General features: G+C 34.6%; 1 protein-coding gene across 16 annotated transcripts in view; it reads right to left on the bottom strand.

Annotated features, from left to right (window-relative positions):
- Positions 1–24,697, bottom strand: part of SPAG16 (sperm associated antigen 16) — a 1,126,038-nt gene that overhangs the window by 377,782 nt on the left and 723,559 nt on the right. For all 16 annotated transcript variants that reach the window (NR_047659.2, NR_047660.2, XM_011511814.2 and 13 more), the window contains one exon: positions 18,643–18,769. Coding sequence is in view for 14 of the 16 variants with exons in the window: in XM_011511814.2 (XP_011510116.1) it covers positions 18,643–18,769 (127 nt within the window). In the remaining 2 variants the exon portion in view is untranslated. The remainder of the gene's footprint in view (positions 1–18,642; positions 18,770–24,697) is intronic.

Here is a 24,697-nt window from a genome sequence, read left to right as displayed (position 1 = left end):
CAAATTCTTCTTTTTAAAAATAATTTCTGAATCTGATCTTTACCAAGGCCTTACAACATGTGATTTCCCTAGAATTCAGCCAAACTGTAAATCCAGTGGCATCTTTTGTTATTGTAGCACTTAAGTTCTTCCTAACTTTATTCTAGATGTCAGAAACTCAGATCCTAGCCTCCGAGAAGCTGTATTCCTGCTCCTTTGTTATTCATACAGGCAATTGTTACATGTCTTCAATATGCCCATAAATTTTCAGCTTCCTATTATGCATTCTGCATTTCATGGCTCTGTTCACTTATAACTATTGACAAAAATGATTAATTATGGAAACAGCAACAGATTCACCATTTTGAGCTGTACCAGCTCAAGACCCTTTGTTTCTTTAATGCTGGTCACAGTGAGACCAATAAGATCAAAGAGGGGTAAAACAAAGTAGATGGAGCTAACAATCACCTTTGCTTAATTCCTGAGGAACATTCTTGAACCTTTTGTTTTGTCAACCAGACATGAGCAACTTCATTAAAGTGTCTCTGCCTGGCTTGATGTGGGACCCCCAAGTGTACCCTAAGACAAATACTTTGAAGTTCATTTATTTGGGAGGTGAACCAGAAAGTGCATGCAAGGGAGGGGAAAAGGGAAATAAAGAAGGGCAAAAGCCAGTAAAGGGTATGCTATGGGAACACTATGAGCAACTGGAACTTGGACTTATTGAAGACTGACATGATTTGTCTCTGTGTCCTCACCCAGTTCTCATGTTGAATTGTAATTCTCAGTGTTGGAGGAGGGGCCTGGTGGGAGGTGACTGGATCATGGGGGCAGATTTCCCCCTTGGTTCTAGTGATAGTGAATGAGTTCTCATGAGATCTGGTTGTTTAAAAGTGTGTAGCACTTCCCCCCTTGGTTCTCTCTCTCTCCTGCTGCACCACTGTGAAGATATGCCTGCTTCCTCTTTGCCTTCTGTCATGATTGTTAGTTTCCTGAGACCTCCCCAGCTGTGCTTCCTATAGAGCCTGTAAAACTGTGAGTCAATTAAACCTGTTTTCTTCGTAAAGGTCTTCCAGTCTCAGGTAGCTCTTTTTATTTTTTCTTTTTTTTTTCATGTTTATTTTATTTTATTTTATTTTATTATTATTATACTTTAAGTTTTAGGGTACATGTGCACAATGTGCAGGTTAGTTACATATGTATACATGTGCCATGCTGGTGTGCTGCACCCATTAACTCGTCATTTAGCATTAGGTATATCTCCTAATGCTATCCCTCCCCCCTCCCCCCTCCCCCCACCCCACAACAGTCCCCAGAGTGTGATGTTCCCCTTCCTGTGTCCATGTGTTCTCATTGTTCAATTCCCACCTATGAGTGAGAACATGCGGTGTTTGGTTTTTTGTCCTTGCGATAGTTTACTGAGAAGGATGATTTCCAATTTCATCCATGTCCCTACAAAGGACATGAACTCATCATTTTTTATGGCTGCATAGTATTCCATGGTGCATATGTGCCACATTTTCTTAATCCAGTCTATCATGGTTGGACCTCTAGCAAACTCCAACAGACCTGCAGCTGAGGGTTCTGTCTGTTAGAAGGAAAACTGACATCCACACCAAAAACCCATCTGTACATCACCATCATCAAAGACCAAAAGTAGATAAAACCACAAAGATGGGGAAAAAACAGAGCAGAAAAACTGGAAACTCAGGTAGTTCTTTATAGCAAAGTGAGAACAAACTAATACAAAGACTCCCTGAAGAATCATATAAAACATGCTTCACAACTGTCCTACTGAGGGACAACAATGCTGAGCTATTTATCCAGTGACTTCTACCTGTCCCCAGGGACATTAACTTCCTCAAACTTGAGCCTAGTAAGCTGTGGCATTGCCTTAGGCAGAGAAACAGAGAGATGCAGATGAAAACCCTTGAGGTGGGAAGTAGATAAGGGACCCAGGAATTGCAGTACAGCTGCAGATAAACGTGAGGTTAGGGGGAGAGGTATCAATGGCATCTGTTACAGTCTCCTAGGTTTATTTTGGAATCAAATCTGCTGTAAGTTCATCATCTCTGAACACAGAGCCATTTAAGTAAAGACTCATAGACTTAAATTAACTTGAAAGACATGTTATTACCAGAAATCTTTGCATTTTTAGTTGATTTCAGATGGACCTCAAATTTCTAACTATGGCACTAAAAATCCAGGACCTCTTTATACCATATACATAAAATATTAATTGACAAGATCTATTTACAATGTCAATATACAATGCCAAAGTAAGAAATAAAAGTGTGTTTATCCATTTATCTGCTGATGGGCATTTGAGTTGTTTCTACATCTCGGCTGTTATGAATAATGCTGTAATGAACATGGGAGTGCTGGATCATATGGTATATACATACAATGCAACAGTTTTTAGCCATAAAAAGAAGGAAATTCTATTTGGGACAACATGGGTGAACCTGGAAGACATTGTGCTAAGTGAAATAATCCAACCTCAGAAAGGCAAATACTGTGTGATTCCACTTAGATGAGGTATCTAAAATAGTCAAAGTCACAAAAGAAGAAAACAAAATAGTGGTTGCTAGGACCTGCGGAAGGGGGAAATAGAGAGTTAGTCAATGAATATAAAGTTTCCATTATGTAAGATGAATAAGGGCTAGAGCTCTGCTGTACAAGAGTGCCTAAAGTTAACAACATAGTATTGTGCACTTAAAATTAGGTTGAGAGACTAGATCTCATGTTGATTGTTCTTACCACTAAAATACACACACACGGAAACTTTTGGAGGTGGTGAATATATTTATTACCTTGATTGTGGTGATATTATGCATAGGTTTATGCATATGTCCAAATTCATCAAATTGTATACATTAAACAAGTGCAATTCCAAAAATAAACCAAATCAATTACACCTCCATACAGCTGTTAAGAGCAAAATGTATTAAATTTCATACGTTTTATTTATTTTTGTTTTGTGAGTGACTGAGTAATTTGTCGCTTCTTTGAAGGCTGAATTAGTAGGGAAAGGCATAGAGTTAAGTTTGAGTAAGATTTGTTTTTGGGGCAATTCCACATTTTCCAAGTCCCTGATCATCTTCTCTTCTCCACATTCTTTTCTTTTGTGTGTTTAATTTTCTCTAACCACATCTTCCTCTTTGCTATCATTCTGGTCCCATCCATTGTCATCTTTTGCATAGATGGATCAGAATAGCCACAGTGGATTTTTCTGCTTCCACCATTGCCTTCCCCTCTCCCCGCCCACTAGTGTGATAAAAGGTAATGCAGATAATGTACCTCTTTGCTCGAAGCCCTCCAATATCTTCCCATACCACCCTGAGTAAATGCCAGTCATCCAAATAGTCTACCAGACTACAGAATTTGTCCCACTCTTCCTACCCACCAACACTCTCTGGCCTCATTTTATATTTTCCAACCCCTCTTTCCTCACTCATCCACTCCTGCTGCTCCTTGCTTGATCCTCAAACACATACCAGGCACATTACTACTCCTGAGTTTTTGTACTTGCAGTTTTCTCTCTCTGGAACACTCTTCCCCCAGATATTGGGAAGGCTCCCCACCAAACCTTATTTAGACCTTGGTTCTAGCTGTATCTTAATTAGAATCACAACATCATTTTTCCCCACCAGCAAAAGATTTCTTACATTATTTCCCTGATTCCTGATTTCTTCTCCACAACATGTGTCATCTAACATACTCATTATTTTTCTTATTTTATCTTTCTCCTTCTACTAAAAGTCTCCCCAAAGGCAGAGACTTTAGTCTTTAAAAAAAAATTGTATCCATAGAATAGTCCCTGCTACACGTTAGGCATTCAGTACTTACGTGTTGAATGATTGATTGTATTACATTCAATAGTAAAGATTTGGGCCAAATATAGTATTGAATGCAATAAAATCATTCAACACATACACATGCGTGCACACACACACAAATATATACACACATACATACATTTTTAACAAAAATGATTTTTTTCACAGATACTATAGTAAATAGTAAAATTATTCAAGATTTCACATCAAGTGATTTCAATGTTAATATATCAGAAATACAGAAGATTCTTATTTAATAATACTCTTAAATATCCTTTAAAATTTTATCAAATGCATGTAAAATTAAAATCTTGGGTTGAGGCATTTGTTATGAAATTATAACTAAGTATTAGGATATATGTATCATCCACAAAGATACAACCAGAGACTAAAGCATGCAAACACATTAAAAAATACCAACAGACAAACAAATTCCCAATTTGGCTGAGTTGAGAATTCTATTCAGTTGAGAATTCTATTCAGTCAAGCCATAGCTTTGCTTCATGAAGTAGTCAAGAATTGTGAAAAGGCTCCATCATCTATCTGCCAAGTGATCCTGAGTTCTGTGGCTTTTAGGAACTAAGACATTGACAGCAGTGTGATTCAAACTCTATGAGCCTATCTAAGAAGTACAATAGACTAGTTCTACTCCTTGTTATTCTATGTCATTTCATCACAAACTCACCACCATTTTCCTATAATCAGATACACAAATTCCAGGGAATACAGAAAATACGGAAAAGGCATGGCTAGTTCAGTGTAATTGGGGACCCAAGTAAAGTAATTTAGGCACAGTAGTATGCTAGCTCCCCACAATCTCACACATCATAAAAATGTGTGTTGCAAATCCTAGATGCCAAAAGTTCCAGAAAACAGTTAAGAAGATGGTAGGGAAAATAAAGGCTCATTTTACAAATATATATTTTAATTAGTTAGCTAAAATAACACACTTAGTCATATATTATACCTTTAAGACAATCACGATACATTCCAAGAAGCACTCAATTTTCCAAGACAAACAGAAAAAATGTTCAACTAGTTTGAATGTCAAAACAAATAAACCAGATAACCATACTAATTTGAAAAAGACTGTCCAAAATCCTGTGTCAAATAATGTAAATATGAATTACAGATATAGAAATTAATGTCAATGGTAGCCTTATGCTTAATGATAACATAAAACATTTTAACTGTCCTAAAACTTATATACTAAAACAGTGACAGGATAATTTTATCTTCTCTAACTTCTAAAACTTAAGTGGTAAGAATGGGGGAAAGTGGACACAGATGGATTGCTGGAAAGAGTATATAGCTAGGAATTGTCAACATCTTATAGATCCTTTATCAATATGATTTAAATGCTTTTTAAAAATGCAAATTTTACCACCTATAAATGTATCTCAATGAAAAGAACTGACAAATGTGAAAAAATAAACCTGCAAGGATGTTTCTGCATTCTTGTTTAGAAGATCAATTACTTAGAAACCATCCAAATATTCATAGGAAAAGACTGTCCAAGCAAACAGTGATACATCTATATCATTAACTATAATATATGTATAATACATTGATAATAAGAATGAGAATGCTTATACAATAATATTTAAAATAATTTTCAAGTTATGCTGTTCAGTAAAGAAGAATTAACTTCTATAATATTTATAGTATGCTATTATTATGAATAGAAGGGTTTGAATGTACATCTTATCTATAGCATACAAAAATTGGAAAGGTTATCATACTAATATTTTATCATTACTTATTTTAAGGGTGTGTTTCTAAGTACTTTTAAAGTCTACTCTTTCCTACACTGAATAGTGTTTTACTTGTGTGATAATGAAAAAAATCTAAAAATAAAATCTCATCAAACAGTGGAATAAAGTTTCTTTGAAACAGATGAAACTTTAGATATACAAAGTCAAAAGATATACAAGATTTAGATAGAAAGGGATTTGAGAATCAGCAAGTCAAAATGGGGAAAGGCTGAAGGGAAAAAAATGATGACTTTGATTTACTGAAGAAGTCTCAAGAAGAGTTCCCTTTTTAAATAAAGGATTTTATATTGTATAGTACATAATTAAGAGTCTGTTTAAGGGCTCTAACTTCTATTTCATTGATTGGGTTATCAATCTTTCTTCAGTTCTACAATATTTACTGTATAGTAAATTTATAGATTAATAACCGGTAGGCTAGTCTTTCTCATGAATCTTTTCCCTCCAGCTTTATTTATCAATTGCTATTATCTAAGGAGATATAAAGGTTAGAATAACTTTATTTACCAAATACACTCAAAGCAGAAACATTATTAGGATCTCCTTGGAATTTCATTAAACCTATATATTAGTTTATAAAGAAATGTGTCTCTTTCAATGAAAGAACCTGGCATATCCTTATACGTGTGTCCATACTTATTTACACACTTCACTGTTATTATGCAGATTTATTCTTTCACATTACACAAACATCTTTATGTGTATAGGATATTTTTGTTGATATTGTTAATTTGCACTTTTAACTTTTGTTTTTGTTTTGTCAGCAAAGAAGAAGCTATTGATTTTTCCATTGAATTTTCCTAGACTAACTTTATGACATTTTTATTAGTTCTAAACTAATAAAAATATACACATGGTTTCTGTGTGTGTGTGTATATATAATATAATATGTGTATGTATATATATGCATGTATGTATATATGTTATTGCAAAAGTAGAAATTATAAGAAGATGCTAACAGTAAGGCAAAGTAACGCTAAGTATGGTTTGCTGTTAGCTTTTCTAAAGAAACTGTTTTTGGACAAACAAATTCTACTTTTTTTCCACTGTTAAATTATGCTTTAATCTTTATTATTTTCTATTTGCTGATATTTCTTCAGCCCTGCCTCTTACCACATTTCTTACATTGTCAATTTCCCTTCAAAAGAATATTTCTTGGATGCTGGGTAGTCAAATAAACAACAAATGACCATCTTAGTAAATCTTTTACAGAAGTTTACAGTTTAATTTTGTTATATCATTAAATTTAAGGTTTTTGTCCTTATATATAGAATGCACAAGTGTCATAACAGTAGGGTATGCAAGGCAGCTTGTCTTCTTTTACAGTATTTTCTTTATTGAATGAAATGCCTGAGTATACTAAATGGTTGAAAAAAAGTCACCATGATTATATGGTGCATCAATGGTTATCCAATTTAAATGTAATTTAATGAATTGCTAATAATTTTCTGGTGCTATAAATCTATATAACAAGAGGTGTTGTTTTACCTTACACGGATCACAATAGCAACCACAGCAGAATGCCGGAAACACTTGCCACAAATGTTGCATTTAATTTCTAGTTTCATCAACGGTATCTAAAAATTATAATTAACATGTGGTACTACAGTGAATTTGAAGTTAAGACTATCTTGAAGTACAGCCAAGCCATCACTATTGAAGTTTTAATGGGTTGAATGTATAAAAGAATGAATAACAGTGACAAGCTTATTCCTAGTAATTTCTATATGTTGAAGTAAAATTAAGAGGCTACAAGTAAGATAGGTCAAATAAACACTATACATACTGTGGAATTACAAACTGATGCAATGAATTGTAGTCACTTAGTTCTTGAAAGTGACAGCAACACACAAAACACTGGGTAAAGCAATTTGCAATGGAATTATTCAATCTCATTAAGCATCATTTAACCCATCAACCAAAGAGACAGAACTACAAATCATGAGAAGACTTGTCTCTAGCATTCTCAGCTACCAAAAATAGAAAAACGTAACTGACCCTTTTTGATTTCCAAATAAATACTCCCAGTGCTAATACTGTGATTTAATTATTATTATTCCCATTTTAAAAGAGAATGCTGAATTTTACAGGTATTAAATATTGTGCCTCAAAATTCACAACCAGGAGGTAAAAGAACTTTAAAAAATCTTGGACTCAAGACTCTAATCTATCTGACTTCAGAATCTGTAATTTTTCTACATTATTATGCTCAAGGCAGAAAAGACTGGAGGCAATCCACTGGGGTTTCCTGTTGGTCAAATATATTCTATGATTAAGTTACCTTCAATATTTATATGTGACAATCCTATTCCTTATTTAATTCAAATAAGTCAAAAAAACATAGTTTTTCTAAGAGATCTAGATTCTACCACACCTGAAAAGGTAGATGCATGCTTTTCCTTTAGTTTCAACTTTCCATCAATCTTTGGTTTTAGCTCTCTATCAACCTTCTATTCATATAATTTCACATCAATCTGAATAAAAGGAAGAAATACTCACTGATATTATTCAAAAGAAGGAATAAACAAATATCTTTAAGTTTAGAATGTATTATATAACTTTTACAAAAATATTGAATTAAGTAATTATGTTTTACAATTCATTTATCTTATTCTTCCCTAAGAAAATAATTGATCTCAATTTTCATTTTAGATATCATTTAAACTATTTTGTGTTCACTACAGATATTATTAAGGAATACAAAAGGAATTAAATCATCTATATTTACTATATCTAAATTTCATACCCTTCTAGATCATAATCTCTGTCCTAATAAAATACTCTAAAATTATTACAAAGAAGCCATTTCAGTAATGAATAAAAATCAGTTGGGTAAGCACGTGGAGAAAAGTTTTTGAGATGATTTAGCCCATATTACTTCTACTCAAAAGATGAATTTTTGTATCTGGTATTTTCTTTTGGCTTGTTCCTTCCAATCCTAGAATTCATTCCAAATCAGAAAATTCAGCATAAAAAAACAGTACAACATGGTGTCTCAACTATGACAGGAGTATTAAGAATATTTTATTCTAAATAATTGATTGGGAATTTTACTTACTTTTATCTCATCCAACACCATATCTCTACATTCCATCTTTATTGAATGGAATCTAAATAAACTGCATGAAGTATAAAGAAATTATTTTTACCTCTTACAGAATTAAAATAATCTCATAAAGCTAATCTATATTTATTTTTCAATGGACATAGTCATTATAATTAATTCAATTAATTAAATTATTTAATGCCATTATTGAATATGATATTTTTTCAAAGGCTGATACCGATATACAAAAATCTAGTCTTCCCGCTACTGGCCAGTGTAATACCATTTATAGTAACTGCAAGGAAAAGAAGAAAGGAATGATATTTGTGATGTGTATGCAAAGGTTTTATATGGAAAGTATGAGATACACAATAGTTTTAGCAAAGTTAAGTAACAATCTTTGAAAGCCTTATAGCATATTAAATTGATCTACTATTTAAGATACAATGTTTTTACTGTGTATTAAAAATACTTAGTTTTAATTTTCAAACAATTGGATTATTTGAGTAAAATGCTTTTCTACCTAAAAGCAAAACATCTGATTTATAGTCTGTAATAACTTAAAACCTATGTACTTATACCTTAAGTTAATGACAAATGTAAATGATATGACTGTAAGTTCTGAAAATCTTATGCATTTTAGAAAACACATAAAGTATTTTTTTCTTTTTTTTTTAATGAATGCCTTAGGAAGCAATTGATAGCCACTCAAATACTACTCCTCTAGGGAAAGATGTGAAAGCCAAACCAGTCAGTCATTTTGGTGGAAAATCAGTATTTTTTACTTTTGTTGTTAATATTACTCTGAAAAAACCATAACATCCATCTTAATCAGTGTGACTTTTCTCAGAACACAGCTTCTACTACATTTTTAATGAAGTGAGAGAAGTTACTTGGAAAACAAAGGCCTGTTGAACATAAGTGATTACCTACTGCAAGCTACAGAGATACCCAGAGAAAACATGAGGGGAAAAGAGAAGGTTTATCTGAAATAAAAGGCATAATAAAATGGGATAATTGAGAACGGGGAATATTAAATTATGTCAGATGCACTGTCAGGGACTGATTGAAAGATAACTTGAAATGTCTAATGAGATTCATGTCATCAAATTGTAGTAGCAAAGAAGGAAGGCTATGTCATTATCAGGAAAGAAGGAAGAGGATAGAATTTGGCAATAACTTGGAGAAACAAAATTGCATAATTTATGTATTTCTTAAATATTTAGTAACAATTCTGTACTATGGCTTGGTGTTAATATAAATGGAAAGAAAGGAAAAGAAATAAAAGTGAAATAGGGTATATCTGAAGAACATGACACAAGTTCTTGAGTTAGAAGAAACACCATGGTAAGACAGATTCTTTTTTTTCCTCCCTTCCCTCCTTCACTTCTTTTTCACCCTCCATTGTTCCCTCACTTCCTTTAACATCTGTTAAGCACCTATTATCCAACCATTGTGAAAATAGAGAAGAAAGCTCCGAGTTTCATGAGAGCAAAATATAACTAAACAATTATATGGCATGACAACTGCTGTAAGAATATCTAAAAGATACTGAGTTCTCATCTGTCACTTTTCTAGGCACATCATATGATTGATCATTTAATACCCATTTTATCCTTATGTGATAAGTAGTACTACTATGCACATTTTACAAATGAGGAAATTGTGGGAAAAATATTTTATACAATATGCCCAAGGACACACTGTAAATAAGCAGCAAATTTTGGGTTTGAATCCAGGCAGAATGGCTGCATGTTCCTATCGTGCTATATGGTCTGATGTAAATACAAGATAATATAGGATATAAGTCCAGAGTTCTATAAAAATGCAATTACGTACATTGATTTTTTTCAAGCATATCTTCTTGTAGCCCATTCCTGAAGCCATTAGTAATTACACGAAATGTTAGCTAATTGGTAAGGCTTGTCTTTTTATGGAGAAAAAAATGTCTCATTCGCCAAGTTCAACATTTTAAAACACTTTACAAAGAAATAATTAGCAAAATTCTACGGGGTACAAAGTTCTCTTGGTTGCCTCTTGGGATGCCTAATCCAGAGGAACAAGCATGGGGAGCTTTGGAGGGAAGGTGAAGTGAACCTTTAAGGATGGATGCAAATTCTTTAGGTGATGAGGGGAAAAGGTGTGTCAGGCAGATGAAATAGTAAAGGGAAAGCTTTTTCAGAGGAAAGATCATGTTATATGTTTGTTAACTTCACACGGTTAGGACATCATGTATTTAATAACTGATGGTAGTAGATGTTTATTTAGTGAGAAAGCAGTAAGTCTCTACACAGGATTTGTGCAACATGAAGGTCTTTGAACCAAGGTGTTCAAAGCAAGGTGTAACACAGTATATAAAATCAATGCAGTGAGGTTTATTTTAAATTTTGTATTGTATTATTGCACTTTCAAGCACTTTGCATATTTATAAGTTGGTTAATTTTAGGTTAACTAGTTGATAAGGTTTGGCTCTGTGTCCCCACCCAAATCTCATCTTGTAGCTCCCATAATTCCCAGGTGTTGTGGCAGGGAACCAATGGGAGGTGATTGAATTATGGGGGCAGGTCTTTTCTGTGCTGCTCTCATGACAGTGAATGGGTCTCATGAGATCTGATGGTTTTAAAAACGGGAGTTTCCCTGCACAAGCGTCTCTTTCTTGCCACCACTGTGTAAGAAGTACTTTTTGCCTTCCGCCATGATTGTGAGGCCTCCTCAGCCACCTGAAACTGTGAGTCCAATAAACTTCATTCTTTCATACATTGCCCAGTCTTGGGTATGTCTTTATCAGCAGCGTGAAAACAGATTAATACACTAGTCCTTTGATGATTAGGATCTTTATAATATTTTGTAAAAAGTCAGAGTGACCAAAAAAATGTTTTCTACTCCCACAAAATTTAAATTTCACAATTTTTTAGCAAAGTGTTTAAAAGAAAAGTTGACCTTAAATATGTGTTATGCTTTTTCTCCCCAAAACACAAATATTCCTAATTTGTTGACCTTTTTTGTGATAATAGGCATTTGCCAACAGTGAACTGTAAGCAGATAATTTTGAAAATAATATGATTAATCATCCTATCAAAATAAAGGTGACATTTTAACAATAAACAAAAAAGGCACCATTTTCGAAAGAAACTTATGATATAGAACATTTGATAACACATATTTTTAGTGTTTCCTCTACCAAATCTACATAAGGGCAGTAACCTTTAAAAGTCCTTGTATCTGAACCTTTAAGACATGTAGAAAAAGAATTTTCCACATAGTATTAAAATGTTTGAAAACTTCTGATTAGTTTGCAAAACCAACTGATTGACCTCAGAACAAGAGGAAACCCTAACAAAATTTTAACAAAAATTCCTTTGCATAATTAGTGGATGAATTTGAAAGTTCAGCCTGCACATTGGTAAGTACAGATCATCATACATTTTTTCCTTTAGGAGTTTTGTATTTTTTGTCAAGGGATCATTTGCAGTTCTGATAGCTGCTAAATCCAATCATAGATCATACTTGTGAATCACTGAATTACAGTCATTAATTAAAATTATTAAATCAGAATTCCTTGAAAATATAAGCATATTGAGTCATCTTTTCTTACTGAACTGTCATTTTTGTGTCATTGTTATTTTTTGGTCAGAAACAAACAAAATTAGAGGCTATAAAAGAAACATGGAATTTTAAATATTGCTAATTGTACCTTTCTGTCATTATTTTTATTTCAGGTGTATATATAAAGTATTACATACATAAAATACCAGCACAGTAGTAATTGCTTAAAACATTTTTATAAAAAATAGTTTGGAGACTACTGTGGTAGAAACTCGAAGGGACTAAGTAGATTAATAGAGGCATGGAAATGGCCAAGGGCATGGAAGAAGGAAGACCGAGGTTGGAGAGGCAGCCTGCGTTCTCACCCTGTCACTGACCACTGGGCTGTTCTTGCGCAACTTACTTCCTCAGGCTCCACTTTCTCAGTTGTGAAATAAAGATAATAATGGTACCCACCCAATCAGATTCCAGTAAGCTATGTAGATTTTATAGGTAAAATGATGGCACAAATTACATATTCAATAAGTGTTAACCATCAATCAGCTCTTGAGACAGTGAGCTTTGGCACAGAAAAACCAAAGCTATAGTTATATAGAATATATAGCAATTACTACATTATTTTAAGATAATTTATCTTTATACATTGTCCCTGAGAGTCTGTGTGTTCATTGAGGGCAGGGATTCTGTCACAGTCACCTCTCGAGAACCTAGGATGTTGCCTAGCACATAGATCTCCAGTAAACATTACTAAATCAAATATGGCTGAGGGATAAAAGAGAGAGGTACAAGCTTCCCTTTGTTTCCACATTCTGGATTCTGAATATTAGGCTCCTCTTAGAGTTCACCAGATCCTATCTATGAAAACCAACAGGCCTATGCAGGGTGCAGGATGAACTGTAGAGCAGACATGGGTCTGGCACCAAACAGGAGCCAACAGGTTAACTCTTTTTGTGAGTTCCTTGTTTATCCACTTTATAGAAACTCGCAGTGACAAGTTACTGGATCTTTTGGCCAAAGCTAAGTCAGGAGAATGCTGTAAGCTGGACAAGTGCCCGCAGTTAGTCTAAGGAGCAAGGAATGGCCACTAAAGGCAGTCCAGGTCATGAACCCTCTGTGTCTGACTCATGGCAAGAGACAAAATGTCAGCAACTCTGACTGTTGCCAGCCCAGCTCTGACACAACTCATAGATGTATTACTCATCTCATTCTCATTCTGTGTTTTACTGTATATTGAAAACATTCTTTTCTTTAAAAAAAAAGCCTTAATATTTTCACTGGGTTTGTGGATGACTAACAATCTCATTGCATTTATTTTAAACAGGCTTCCAAATCACTGTATGTACATTGAGCCTTTTCTTACTGCCTTTAGGTAGGCCTTATAATTTCTCATTCAGTTTGCTATGTGATATATCACTTTCTGACAATAAAGCAATCTTATCTTTCAATTTTAATAAAATAGTCTTCAACTTTGAAGAAAAATACATGCAGTCCTGTAAAACTGAGCAATTTCATGAGTTTCCAAACTGCAAGTTATTTTGTAGCCTCCATTTGGTAATTATAGAGATTTATATCCCTTTTTTCATCCTCTACAAAATTCAGAGCTGATATGTCCAGTTGACTTGGAAACTGACTTAGGCCTCCACGTTAATTATCTTTGATAATAAAGGTGTTAGATCATATTAATGATTTAAAACGAGTATATGTTTGAGAGTGGGAGAAGGAGGTTTAAAACTAATTTATAGGAATATAATCCACTGGTCATTTTCACATTTCATCAAAAAATATTTCAGAGGGTGTCTCAATAGTAACTGATCACATTGAGGTGACAAAATGTACCATTACTGCTTCACTAATAGAAGAAAGTCATTAATCTCCTTTTAGGTCCAGACCTTCAGGATAACCTGACAATTTATCATGTATCAAGGAATTAACATATTTTAAAAATTATAAAGAAGAAGCATGCCAGTATACCATGGATTCAGTTGATGTTGCAAATCAAATAATGTCATCCATATCAATATGTTATACTGTTCTTATCATTACAACATAGAAAAAAACTTTAGCTAATCTGGTTACCCTTTTCAAAATCTCTTACTATTTAACTAAAAATGTAAATTTATTTTAACTTGTTTATGAACCACTGGGATAAAAAACAACTAACAATTCCATATTATACAGACAACATATAACACGTGTCTTTGTCTTTTAAAAACAATGTATATAACAGTATAAATTTTTTAAAACCTGGGTGATTTAAAGTTTTTTTGTTTTGTTTTGTTTTTTAATAAATTAGCTATATCTGAAATGAAGTCGCCACAGTTGCCTAATGCAATGTTAGTGGAATGATTCTGTTTAATTTTTGGATTATCGTATTTCACTTGTAGAATTTTATATCAATATTTTCGTTAACAATTTATATTATCTAGTAATTAATAAGTTGAATGAGTTTCCTTTGCATTATATGCCAGTTTTTTACAGTACATAGCTATCAATTTAAATTTTTTTCTACTTGGTTTGAAAATATTTTTAGAAAATAAACCCATTAAATGAACTTTATTTCTAATTAATGATGCATTTATGATACATTTAGGAATCATATTTCATTTAAACCAAAATATTTTAGAGCCTTTTTTCTAGTATTAATTAATATAAAGCTAGCATGCATAATAGTAACAAAATAGCAATAATAATTGTAGTGATATACATTTTAATTTGCCATTAAGTCAACTTAAAAATATTTATGTTGATTAAAGTCATGCAAATGGGACTTGCAAACCCTTCTATGCTTTTACATTCAATGCATATGCAATTGCACTATGCTGAAGGTACTGTGCTGTGCTGAATCCCTCTTTTTCTCCTGATACTTCAGGGAATAAGGATAGCACAGAAAGAGCTCAGAACCTCAGGGAGGGAGGAAGGTCACCATCAATAAACAGCTGTATGCATTCAAGGCAGATATATATGAGAGGAAACTTTTTAAAATTAGAGCAGTTTTACTTCTAAGCATTAGTGCTTCTGTTTTTCACATAAGAGAAAGTAAATAAGATATAGACTTTCCTAGAACACTCAGTTATAGCACTTGAGAGAGAGAGAAAAAAACCTTGAAGTCAATAGAATTTAGGTCACTGCTAAATTAATATTTTCTCTATGGATATTCCTCTACCAATCACTTTTATACAAACTTCACATCTAAGTTTTTAGTTCAAAATATATTGAAAATCTTACTTTTCCATTGACGCTCCATTAGCAGGAGCAAACTCCACTGCATCAATGTCTGAGAAGCTATTTTAAAGCAAGGAGGAGATTGTCGGACCTTTGTACCTAACAAAAAATCATCCTGATTTTATTTTTAAGTCACGCCTGATGCACTCTTTCCACAATGCCCCCTTGACTTCTGCTTCCTCAGAAGTTTAAATCTCTGCAACATGTGAAGTTGGTCACCAAGACATGGGTAGCTCTACCTTAGTTTTTTCTATAATGTGTGGTGCTGAGCATATTTTGTTCTTCATATATCCTAAATAAATTGGCCTCAGAGGTCTAAACAGGGCTTCACATACTGAACTTGCATCCCTCCTAACACCATCTGCATGTCCATTACCATATTCCTTTATTTATATCAATCATGTTTTGTATATGGGAAATAAAATGGGAGAAATTACATTTCTCTTTCTTATTGACCCAGGAACCAGAAATTATGAATATTTATTCTTTTCTTATAGAGTCAACTGTAGTCATTGTTTCTCTTGTGATCTTTATAAAATATCACTAAGAAGAATATGGAGGCCTTGTTTTACACATATTGGCATTCTTCAAGTTATGAAAATCTGTGCACAATAAACTCTGTTATCTTTTCTCTTTCCTACATTTTCATTTCATCTCCCCGATCTTACCCATAAGCAAATAAACATGCTGTCTCCTATCTGAACAAAGGAGGATCCTTTATTTGATCTTAGAGCTACAATCTTTTCTCCTATTCATCTTCACAGCCAAACTGTTTGAAAGTGTAGTCCCTACATGTTGTTTACTTTGTGATATGGCTTGGCTTTTTGTTCCCCACCCAAATCTCACCCTGAATTGTAATAATCCCCACATGTCATGGGAGGGACCTGGTGGGAAGTAACTGAATCAGGGGTGAGTTTTTCCCATGCTGTTCTCGTGATAGTGAATAAGTCTCACGAGCTCTGATGGTTTTATAAAGGTGAGTTCCCCGGCACATGCTCTCTTGCATGCTGCCATGTATGACGTGACTTTGCTTCCTCATTCACTTTTCACCATGCTGTGAGGCCTCCACAGGTATAAGGAACTGTGAGTTCATTAAACCTCTTCCTTTATAAATTACCCAGCCTTGGGTATGTCTTTATCAGCAGGGTGAGAACAGACTAAAACACTTTTATTAAAATCAAATTCACTCTTGAACCTACCAGTAATCCAGTTCTGTCCAATTTTAGCTCTGAAAATCTCATGACTCAGGAAAACCCTCATTCCTAGACAAATTGGAAAAGTTTCTCACCCTGAACTCCTCCTCCTCCCCACATAATCTTCACCTCCAATCACTCTCCAAATTTGGATAAACTTCCTATGCTTAATGCATTCTCTCCTTTTCATCTACGCTGTTTCCTAGCTCAAATTCTCATCCACTCATAGCCTGTTATATTAGATTCCTCACATGACTGACTCTCTTACTTCCTTATCAAAATCATCTTCTAAAAAGGGGACAAATAAAAGCAAAATTCTAAGGCCCTCCCCCAGCCAACTGAATGGAACATCTCTTAGCCAACAGGACCCCAGAGTAACCTTGAAAACTGAGCTCTCAGCCAGGACAGGATGGTGTTCAGACAAGCCTCCTCATACTCCCTCCCTCCAAAATGACCATTAGCCTTGCTTCCCTAAGTGCTAAACAGAAACCAGCCCTTTCTTTCTTTGATTTTTTTTTTTTTCTGAGATGGAGTTTTGCCCTTGTTGCCCAGGCTAGAGTGCAATGGCATGATTTCGGCTCACTGCAACTTCCGCCTCCTGGATACAAGCGATTCTCCTGCCTCAGCCTCCCAAGTAGCTGGGATTACAGGCATGCACCACCGCACCCAGCCAATTTTGTATTTTCAGTAGAGATGGGGTTTCACCATGTTGGACAGGCTGGTCTGGAACTCCTGACCTCCAGTGATCCACCTGCCTTAGCCTCCCAAAGTGGTGGGATTACAGGCGTGAGCCACTGCACCCAGCCGAAACCAGCCCTTTCAAAAGACCTCAATACTGATATCAACCAGCCACCTGATACTGCCCTTCCTCTTTTAGCCTGATAAGAGACCACTGACCATGAAGTGGGTCTGGCCAGTCCATGGAACATGTGCAGTAAGGGTTTTCATGTCCTCCACTTCACCTTCCGATGTTAGGCGGCTGAAAACTCCAGCCTTGGATCATGCTAAAACTGCCATTTTTGGTACATGGGACCCATGAAGGGGCATGAATGTATACTGTGCATGTGCATGATTCACCTTTCATAAATAGTCATGACTCCTCCTCAAGCTTATGAAATATTCACATACCCAACTCAGCATAAATTCCTGTTCCCTTTGCTCCTCCCTCGAAGTATCTATTTCTGGCTTCTGGCTGGAGGCTATGCTTTCCAGCTTGTCCGAATGGCCACCCTGCAGACTGTAACCCCTTATGAGGAATTTATTTTCCAAATTTATGAACCTTGTCACTCTTCAGTTGACAAGGTAAATCCGATTATGTCACCCTGTTTGCTTAATGCTCTTTAATTCTCTCGGAAATAGTTTAAGACTTTAATCAAATACGTCATGATCTTGTTTTGTCTCTGTACATTCTTGCCTATCATGCCTCTTTTTCCTTAAGCTCTTTCCATTTATATCATTACTGTCAGAACATGCCATTGCAGCCTCACATCTCTATGGCTTTGAGCATGTATTGCCCTCTCCTAAATCTACCCCTCTCCAGATGACCTATATATCCTACTTACCCTCCAGATCTTAGCTCAAGCCTAGGCTCCTTTGAAAGCCATCCACACTCTTCCAGCAGATATGAATCCTCCTCCTTGCTTTCCCCCTGTATTTAGATAGTCTTCCATTTTATTAACGCATGTCTCATTTCATCAAAATAATCTCTCGTTTCTCTTCCTTTACCTAGCTAAAAGATCCTTAAGGAGGGGGCACAGTGTGTATTTCCCTTTTGTATCCCATGAACCAGCAGAGCTTCTATCGCAATAAATAATTGTTGAAATAATGCTTAATGAGATAATCATATTATTTTTACCTGATCACATTTGGAAGGCAGAATGGATACAAGTGCATAGAAAGGATCTTGTAATTATGAACTTTTTACTGTTCTTTTGCCCTGAATGCCCTTGCACAATCACTTTTTAAGTCATATTCCATACCCAAAGAATGACCGAGAGTAATCAGACTTATCAAAAGCTGGGAAAAAAAGTGAATGATTTGCTTACTGTTCTTGCATCCCATATAGACAGGGTCTTGTCTGCAGAGCTTGTGAGAAGAGTATTGGAGAAAGGAAAAAACTCAATGCTGTTCACAGAATCTGTATGTCCATACAAAGTACATCTGCATCTTTCACTATAAAGAGAGAAATTAAGAATTTTAGGAGTTAGTATCTATGCTGTCTATACAATGCTAATAAAAATAATTTAAGGAACTGAGGCATGAAATAATTTTATTAATGGCAAAAATTTTACAATAACAACATTTTAAAAGTAAAATTCTATAGCTACCTTATATTCTCAGCACTTTATACGATTAGTAGCATAAAACTACACTCAAATTACCTTCAATTTATGGAATCACTTGGTAAAGTCATCTTTATACTATCTCATTTATACTTTACCATGAAATGACAGTATAAAAATTATCCCCACATAATAGAGGAATATGTTTAAAAAATTTTGCACTAATTCATCAGACAAAATAAACTTTTTCAGTCATTACTTTTCTTAATTGCTTCTCCGACTTGGTTATATATTAGAATCACCTGAGGCACTTCAGTGGCTACCAGAGACTGGGGGAGGGAAAAGAGACGGGAGAATAGGGAGAGACTGGTCAGTGGGTACAAAGTTACAATTAGATAGGAGGAATAAATTTTGGTGTCCTGTTGCACAGTAGGGTGACTATGGTTAACATTAAAATATTGTATATTACAAAACAGCTAGAAGAAACGCTTTTGAAAGTTCTCGCCACAAAGAAGTGGTAAATGCATGAAGTGATGGATACAGTCACTACCCTGATTGGATCTCTCTACACCACAGATATGTATTGAAACATCAAATTGTACCCCATATGTACAATTATTAATGCACCGATTAATTACTTAAACCAAAAAAAAAAAAAAAAGACAAAATACTCATACCCAGTCTCAAGCCCTAGACATTCTATGCCAATTGATGATGGAGCCTGGGAATTAATTAGTGGATTAATGCCTCTCCTGGTAATTATAATATGCCTTTAGGGCTGAGAATTTAAACCCAGTGGTTTTTAAAATTTTTTACCCAGACTAGCAGTATCACTGTCACTTGGAAACGTGTCTGAAATGCAAATTCTCAGGCGTCATCCCAAACCTATTGAATCAGAAACTCTGGAGGAGGCCCCAGCAATCTGTGTTTTAGCAAGCTCTTCAAGTGATTCTGATACATGTTAAAGTTTGAGAACCACTGATCTAAACTATTAGAAATGACCCAGAAGAAAGGGATAACTGCAGCTGTGTTTTTTTTGCCATTTTACGAAAAGGCTGTTTCTCAATGAAACGGAGTATACATAGAGCAATACCACTCCTCATGTGTAATGACTGATTGCTCTTAAATAACTTTATTTATAAACCTACTTTTAAAATAGAGAACAAATAGAATCAGGATAACTAGTAAGTACTCAGAACAGAGGAGTCAATATAAATGCATTCCTAATATAATAATCAGTCAGTTGGCCCAGGCATTGTGGCTCAAGTCAGTAATCCAACCACTTTGGGAGGCCGAGGCAGGAGACCACCTGAAGTCAGGTGTTCGAGACCAGCCTGACCAACATGGTGAAACCCCATCTCTACTAAAAATACAAAAATTAGCCTGACGTGGCGGCATATGCCTGTAATCCCAGCTACTCGGGAGGCTGAAGCAGGAGAATCGCTTGAATCTGGGAGGCAGAGGTTGCAGTGAGCAGAGATCACACCACTGCACTCCAGACTGGGTGACAGAGCGAGATGCCCTCTCGAGGAAAAAAAAAAAAAAAAAAAAATATATATATATATATATATATATATATATGTAAGTATAAAAATATATATATATAAGTAAGTATATATATACATATGTATAAATCAGATAGTTAATCTTTGATTAGTTCCTCTGTGGCTTGAACCAAGCCATGTACAATAATATAGTGTAGTGGGCAAAACTCTGCAATGGGAGCCAGGAGACTGAATTCCAGTCCTGACTTTGGCAAGAACTAGCATGGTAACCGTTTAACTTTAGTGGCCGTAAATTTTCTTCTTGTGTGAATGAAATTATTTACCTGATGCACTCGGTGATCCTGTCCAGCTCCTACATTCTGAGATCAAAGTTAGAAATGTAAAATGGGAAGGAAGAAGTCAGCTTGAGTACAGCACATATGAACTGTAAGAAGCAAAATATGCCCTTCCTTTCTTAAATGTCAGCATTTTTGAGACATCAAAAGATATGAAAATTTGCATGTATATGAATATGTATGTAAATTATTTAGCAACACTTCCCTTTCTCATCAAAGCTAAGTATTACAGTAATAAGTATTTGGAGCAAGAATATAAAATCAATACATCAGGAATATTTTGTATTAGTTTCCTTACCTCAGTATTTCACAGATAGGCTGATAATATTTTAATCACTAAAGTTGATGATGTGTATACCAGGGGTCAACAAACCACGACCCAGAACTGACTGCTTATTTTTGTAAATAAAGTTTTATTGGAATATGCCAGTCTGTTTACATATTGTCTATTGCTGCTTTCCCATTACAGTAACAGAGTTGCATAGCCACAACAGAGATAATATGGTCCACAAATCAAAAATATTTAATTCATAGCCCTTTGAAGAAAAGTTTGCTGACCCAAGAAGTATACCAATATATTAGAATATTTACGAGTATACTTGGGTTTTACTTATGACATTTAATCTTTTTTGAGGAGAGTGCCAAAACTTACAGAATAAGTTATTTTCTTTTAAAAAATTACTGTTTTATGTACAAATTTTACCTGCTATTTTTAATGAATCTAAAAATGTAAGTATGAACATTTTTTAAGTTTCTATTCCAAAGCCCACTATCTTGAAATAATCATCTTTAAATATTAGTATAATTACTGTAGTTATAGCTCTATGGAGAGACAGAGAGGTGAGGTGGGAGAGAAAAAGAGAGAGATAAAAATTAAGAATTTTATTCCTATTATATTAAAATGGTAAATTATTAAATTATATGAAATTTAACAATAAAATAAGTATAACTAAAGGCATTGCTGAAAGTCACGTAGATACTTTCTTACTACAAGACAAGATCTATCACTATCTAAAAGATAACATTAAGAAAAATATTAAAGTATATTATTTTAATAACATTTCATTTATAAAAAGTATAGTGAAAAAAGGAAAATAACGTATTTATGTTCCTCCCACTTTCTTTTTACTCACCTCTGAAATTTAAAAAAATCTTATTGTTAAATTTAGAATATCAAAAATCATCACATATTTTGATCTGTAATCACAAAGCTCAAACTCAGCGTCCCTCCTTCCCCATCTTCCTAGTGTTTAATATATGTTTAAATTAATCCTCTGCATCCATACTTTTATACAGTTTAATGATTATTCAGTACTTCAACAGCAGTTTCGCTGGTTATAATTTCTTGGGTCACCTGACCTCCTCAAATGTTTGTGGAGAAACAATTCACTGTTAGAGTACTGCAAAGTCTGAGGTCAGTCTAGTCTCTCCAATCTCCCATCCAACCTTCTTTGGGGTTCGTTTGCTGTTTACACCCAAGAGCCCTTACAGTTTCTTTCCCAAATACTGAAGTTCAGAAATTTTAGCACAGCATACCCTAATGGAAAGGTCCACCTATTATGCCTAGACTTTTATTATTCCAGGAAAGTTTCTTCCCCTGTGACTTTTTTTTCTCTTTCTCCTCAATTTAGTCCATTTATTTTGTTTAGAAACACTATGTCCTTTTTTGTCTAATTTGCCTTTACGTTTAATATTTTCTCTACAATTCTTATTTTTTTCATTTTTAATATCTGTTCTTTATAACTCTCAATTATGTTTATTCTATTTGTGTGTTGGGTAGGGGAAGAGCAATCAAAAGCTTTTATTTCTGTTTTCTAGTTCACTTGTTTCCTGATCTTTTTCAGTCTGCTTTTTATTTGCATCTATCATCTTACAAATCATAATAAAATATTTTAACTCTTTTGACATTTTATTATATAAAAACAATTTAAAATATAGCATTTCAGTAATTTCTTTGGAAACAGAGTACTTTTGTGTGAATTATTGATTTCATATCTTTACTCAGGTGATTCCTTTATGCACTTCATGTTCTTCACTGAAATTTGGAGTTTTATTCATTTACTCTTCAATTTTTGCAATTCTTTATAAAATCTGGTTGGTTTCTTTTTATTATGACTTACGAGGACAGCTATTGGGGGATAGCTGTTTTCTAAAGATTAATGGCAAAAGGTGGGAAAATTAATTGGCAGAAGGAGAGAAAGGCACTGACTTCTATTCAGATTTGTTGTCTCCTACAAAATCTTTTCACCTCGTGTGCTGTTGACCCAATCCCTGACGTGTATCTCTTCTCCATTTTTTTGCTTTACTTTCAAGTACAGATGTATGTAGTATGTTGCAATACCCGTAGCATCACAGGCTCTATTTTAACTCTCAATGAGCCTGCCTCCCTCACGACCCTCATTCTGCCTCATCTATGGCAATCTGCTTTATCTCTTTTATCTAACAATAAAAATGGCTTGTTAGGATTTATGCTTCCAACTGTGATAAAGTAACCAGTTTCTGTACTTCTCTTATAATAAGCAACTGTAAAATTACACACATTATCTAAAGTAAATTTTTACTGGCATTGAACTAAACATAGCACAGGAATATAATCCTTAAGAGAAGGAAAAACTCAAAATGAGCTCTGTAACCTCCATGACTTTCTGCTTGGATGCACTTTTTACTATCAAATACGGAAATAGAGCCCAGTAGAACTGAAGTTTCACTGAGTTGAGAAGCAGCGAGAAAAGTCTGGGCTTCTGAGTTGCTTAAAATTTGGAGTGTAGGGTAGCTGACAAAAGGGAGCTGAGCTGGGAATGGCAGTAGTTTGTGTGAGGATTCACCATGAATTTTGGGCGAACGTCTAGATGGCATTTTCATAGAGTAAGATTCCACAAGGTCTAGCAGAGATTTCCTGCTCTATGGTTGATTGCTGAACAATGATACCAGAGATTAGCTACTGCTAGAAAGAATACTCTGGAGTTTAATCCTGGGTGAAGTGGAGATAATTTACTGCATATCTCAGACTCTCACTTGGAGATTCAAGAAAGGCTCCACTATAGGGGTACGGGTAAGGTTCATAAACTAAATTCAAAACAAAAGTAGAGTTCTACTACCAATGAATAAAACTATGCCTGAAAGGGCAAAAATGATCTTCCCATAATTAAACTGCTCCTTACAACAGAACTCAATACCTTTTCCAGGAGAAAACCTAATATAGATTTCTCCAAATTAGTCATTAACAACATCTAGCATGTATTTTTTTTTTTTTTTTGAGATGGAGTCTTGCTCTGTTGCCCAGGCTGGAGTGCAGTGGCACGATCTTGGCTCACTGCAACCTCTGTCTCCCCGGTTCAAGCGATTCTCCTACCTCAGCCTCTGGAGTAGCTGGGGCTACAGGCCTGTGCCAGCACACCAGGCTGATTTTTGTATTTTTAGTGGAGACAGGGTTTCACCATGTCGGCCAGGCTGGTGTCGAACTCCTGACCTCAAGTAATCCACCCACTTTGGCCTCCCAAAGTGCTGGGATTACAGGCGTGAGCCACTACACCCAGCCCCAGCATGTAATTTTTTTTTTTAAATGCTACATATGTACATAAGTGGAAAGGTAAAAATGTAATCCATACACAAGAAAAATAAAAAAATACATAGAACAGAACAGACTCTGAATCAAACATTGGAAATCAAAGACCAAGACTACAAATGATTTATTATTATTATGTTCAAAGATTTAAAGAAACATATAGTTATAATGGGTGCACAGATAGAGAATCTCAGAAGGTAACTGCAAACCATAAAAAAAGAGGTCTATGTAAGAATGGATAAGTAAATGTGAAATTAAAATGTTAGCTGGGTGAGCAAAATATCAGATTGGGTACTGAAGGAAAAAATAGTAGTGAGAATGAAAAGAGATTAATAGAAATTATCTGATTTGAAGAACAGAAAAAATATTGAAAAACCATGGATTACAGTCTCAATAATCAGTAGAAAAATATT

Source organism: Homo sapiens, chromosome 2 (assembly GCF_000001405.40).
Source record: "Homo sapiens chromosome 2, GRCh38.p14 Primary Assembly".
NCBI lineage: Eukaryota > Metazoa > Chordata > Mammalia > Primates > Hominidae > Homo > Homo sapiens.
The sequence above is the reverse complement of the archived record's forward strand: the minus strand, read 5'-3'. Positions and strand labels throughout refer to the sequence as shown.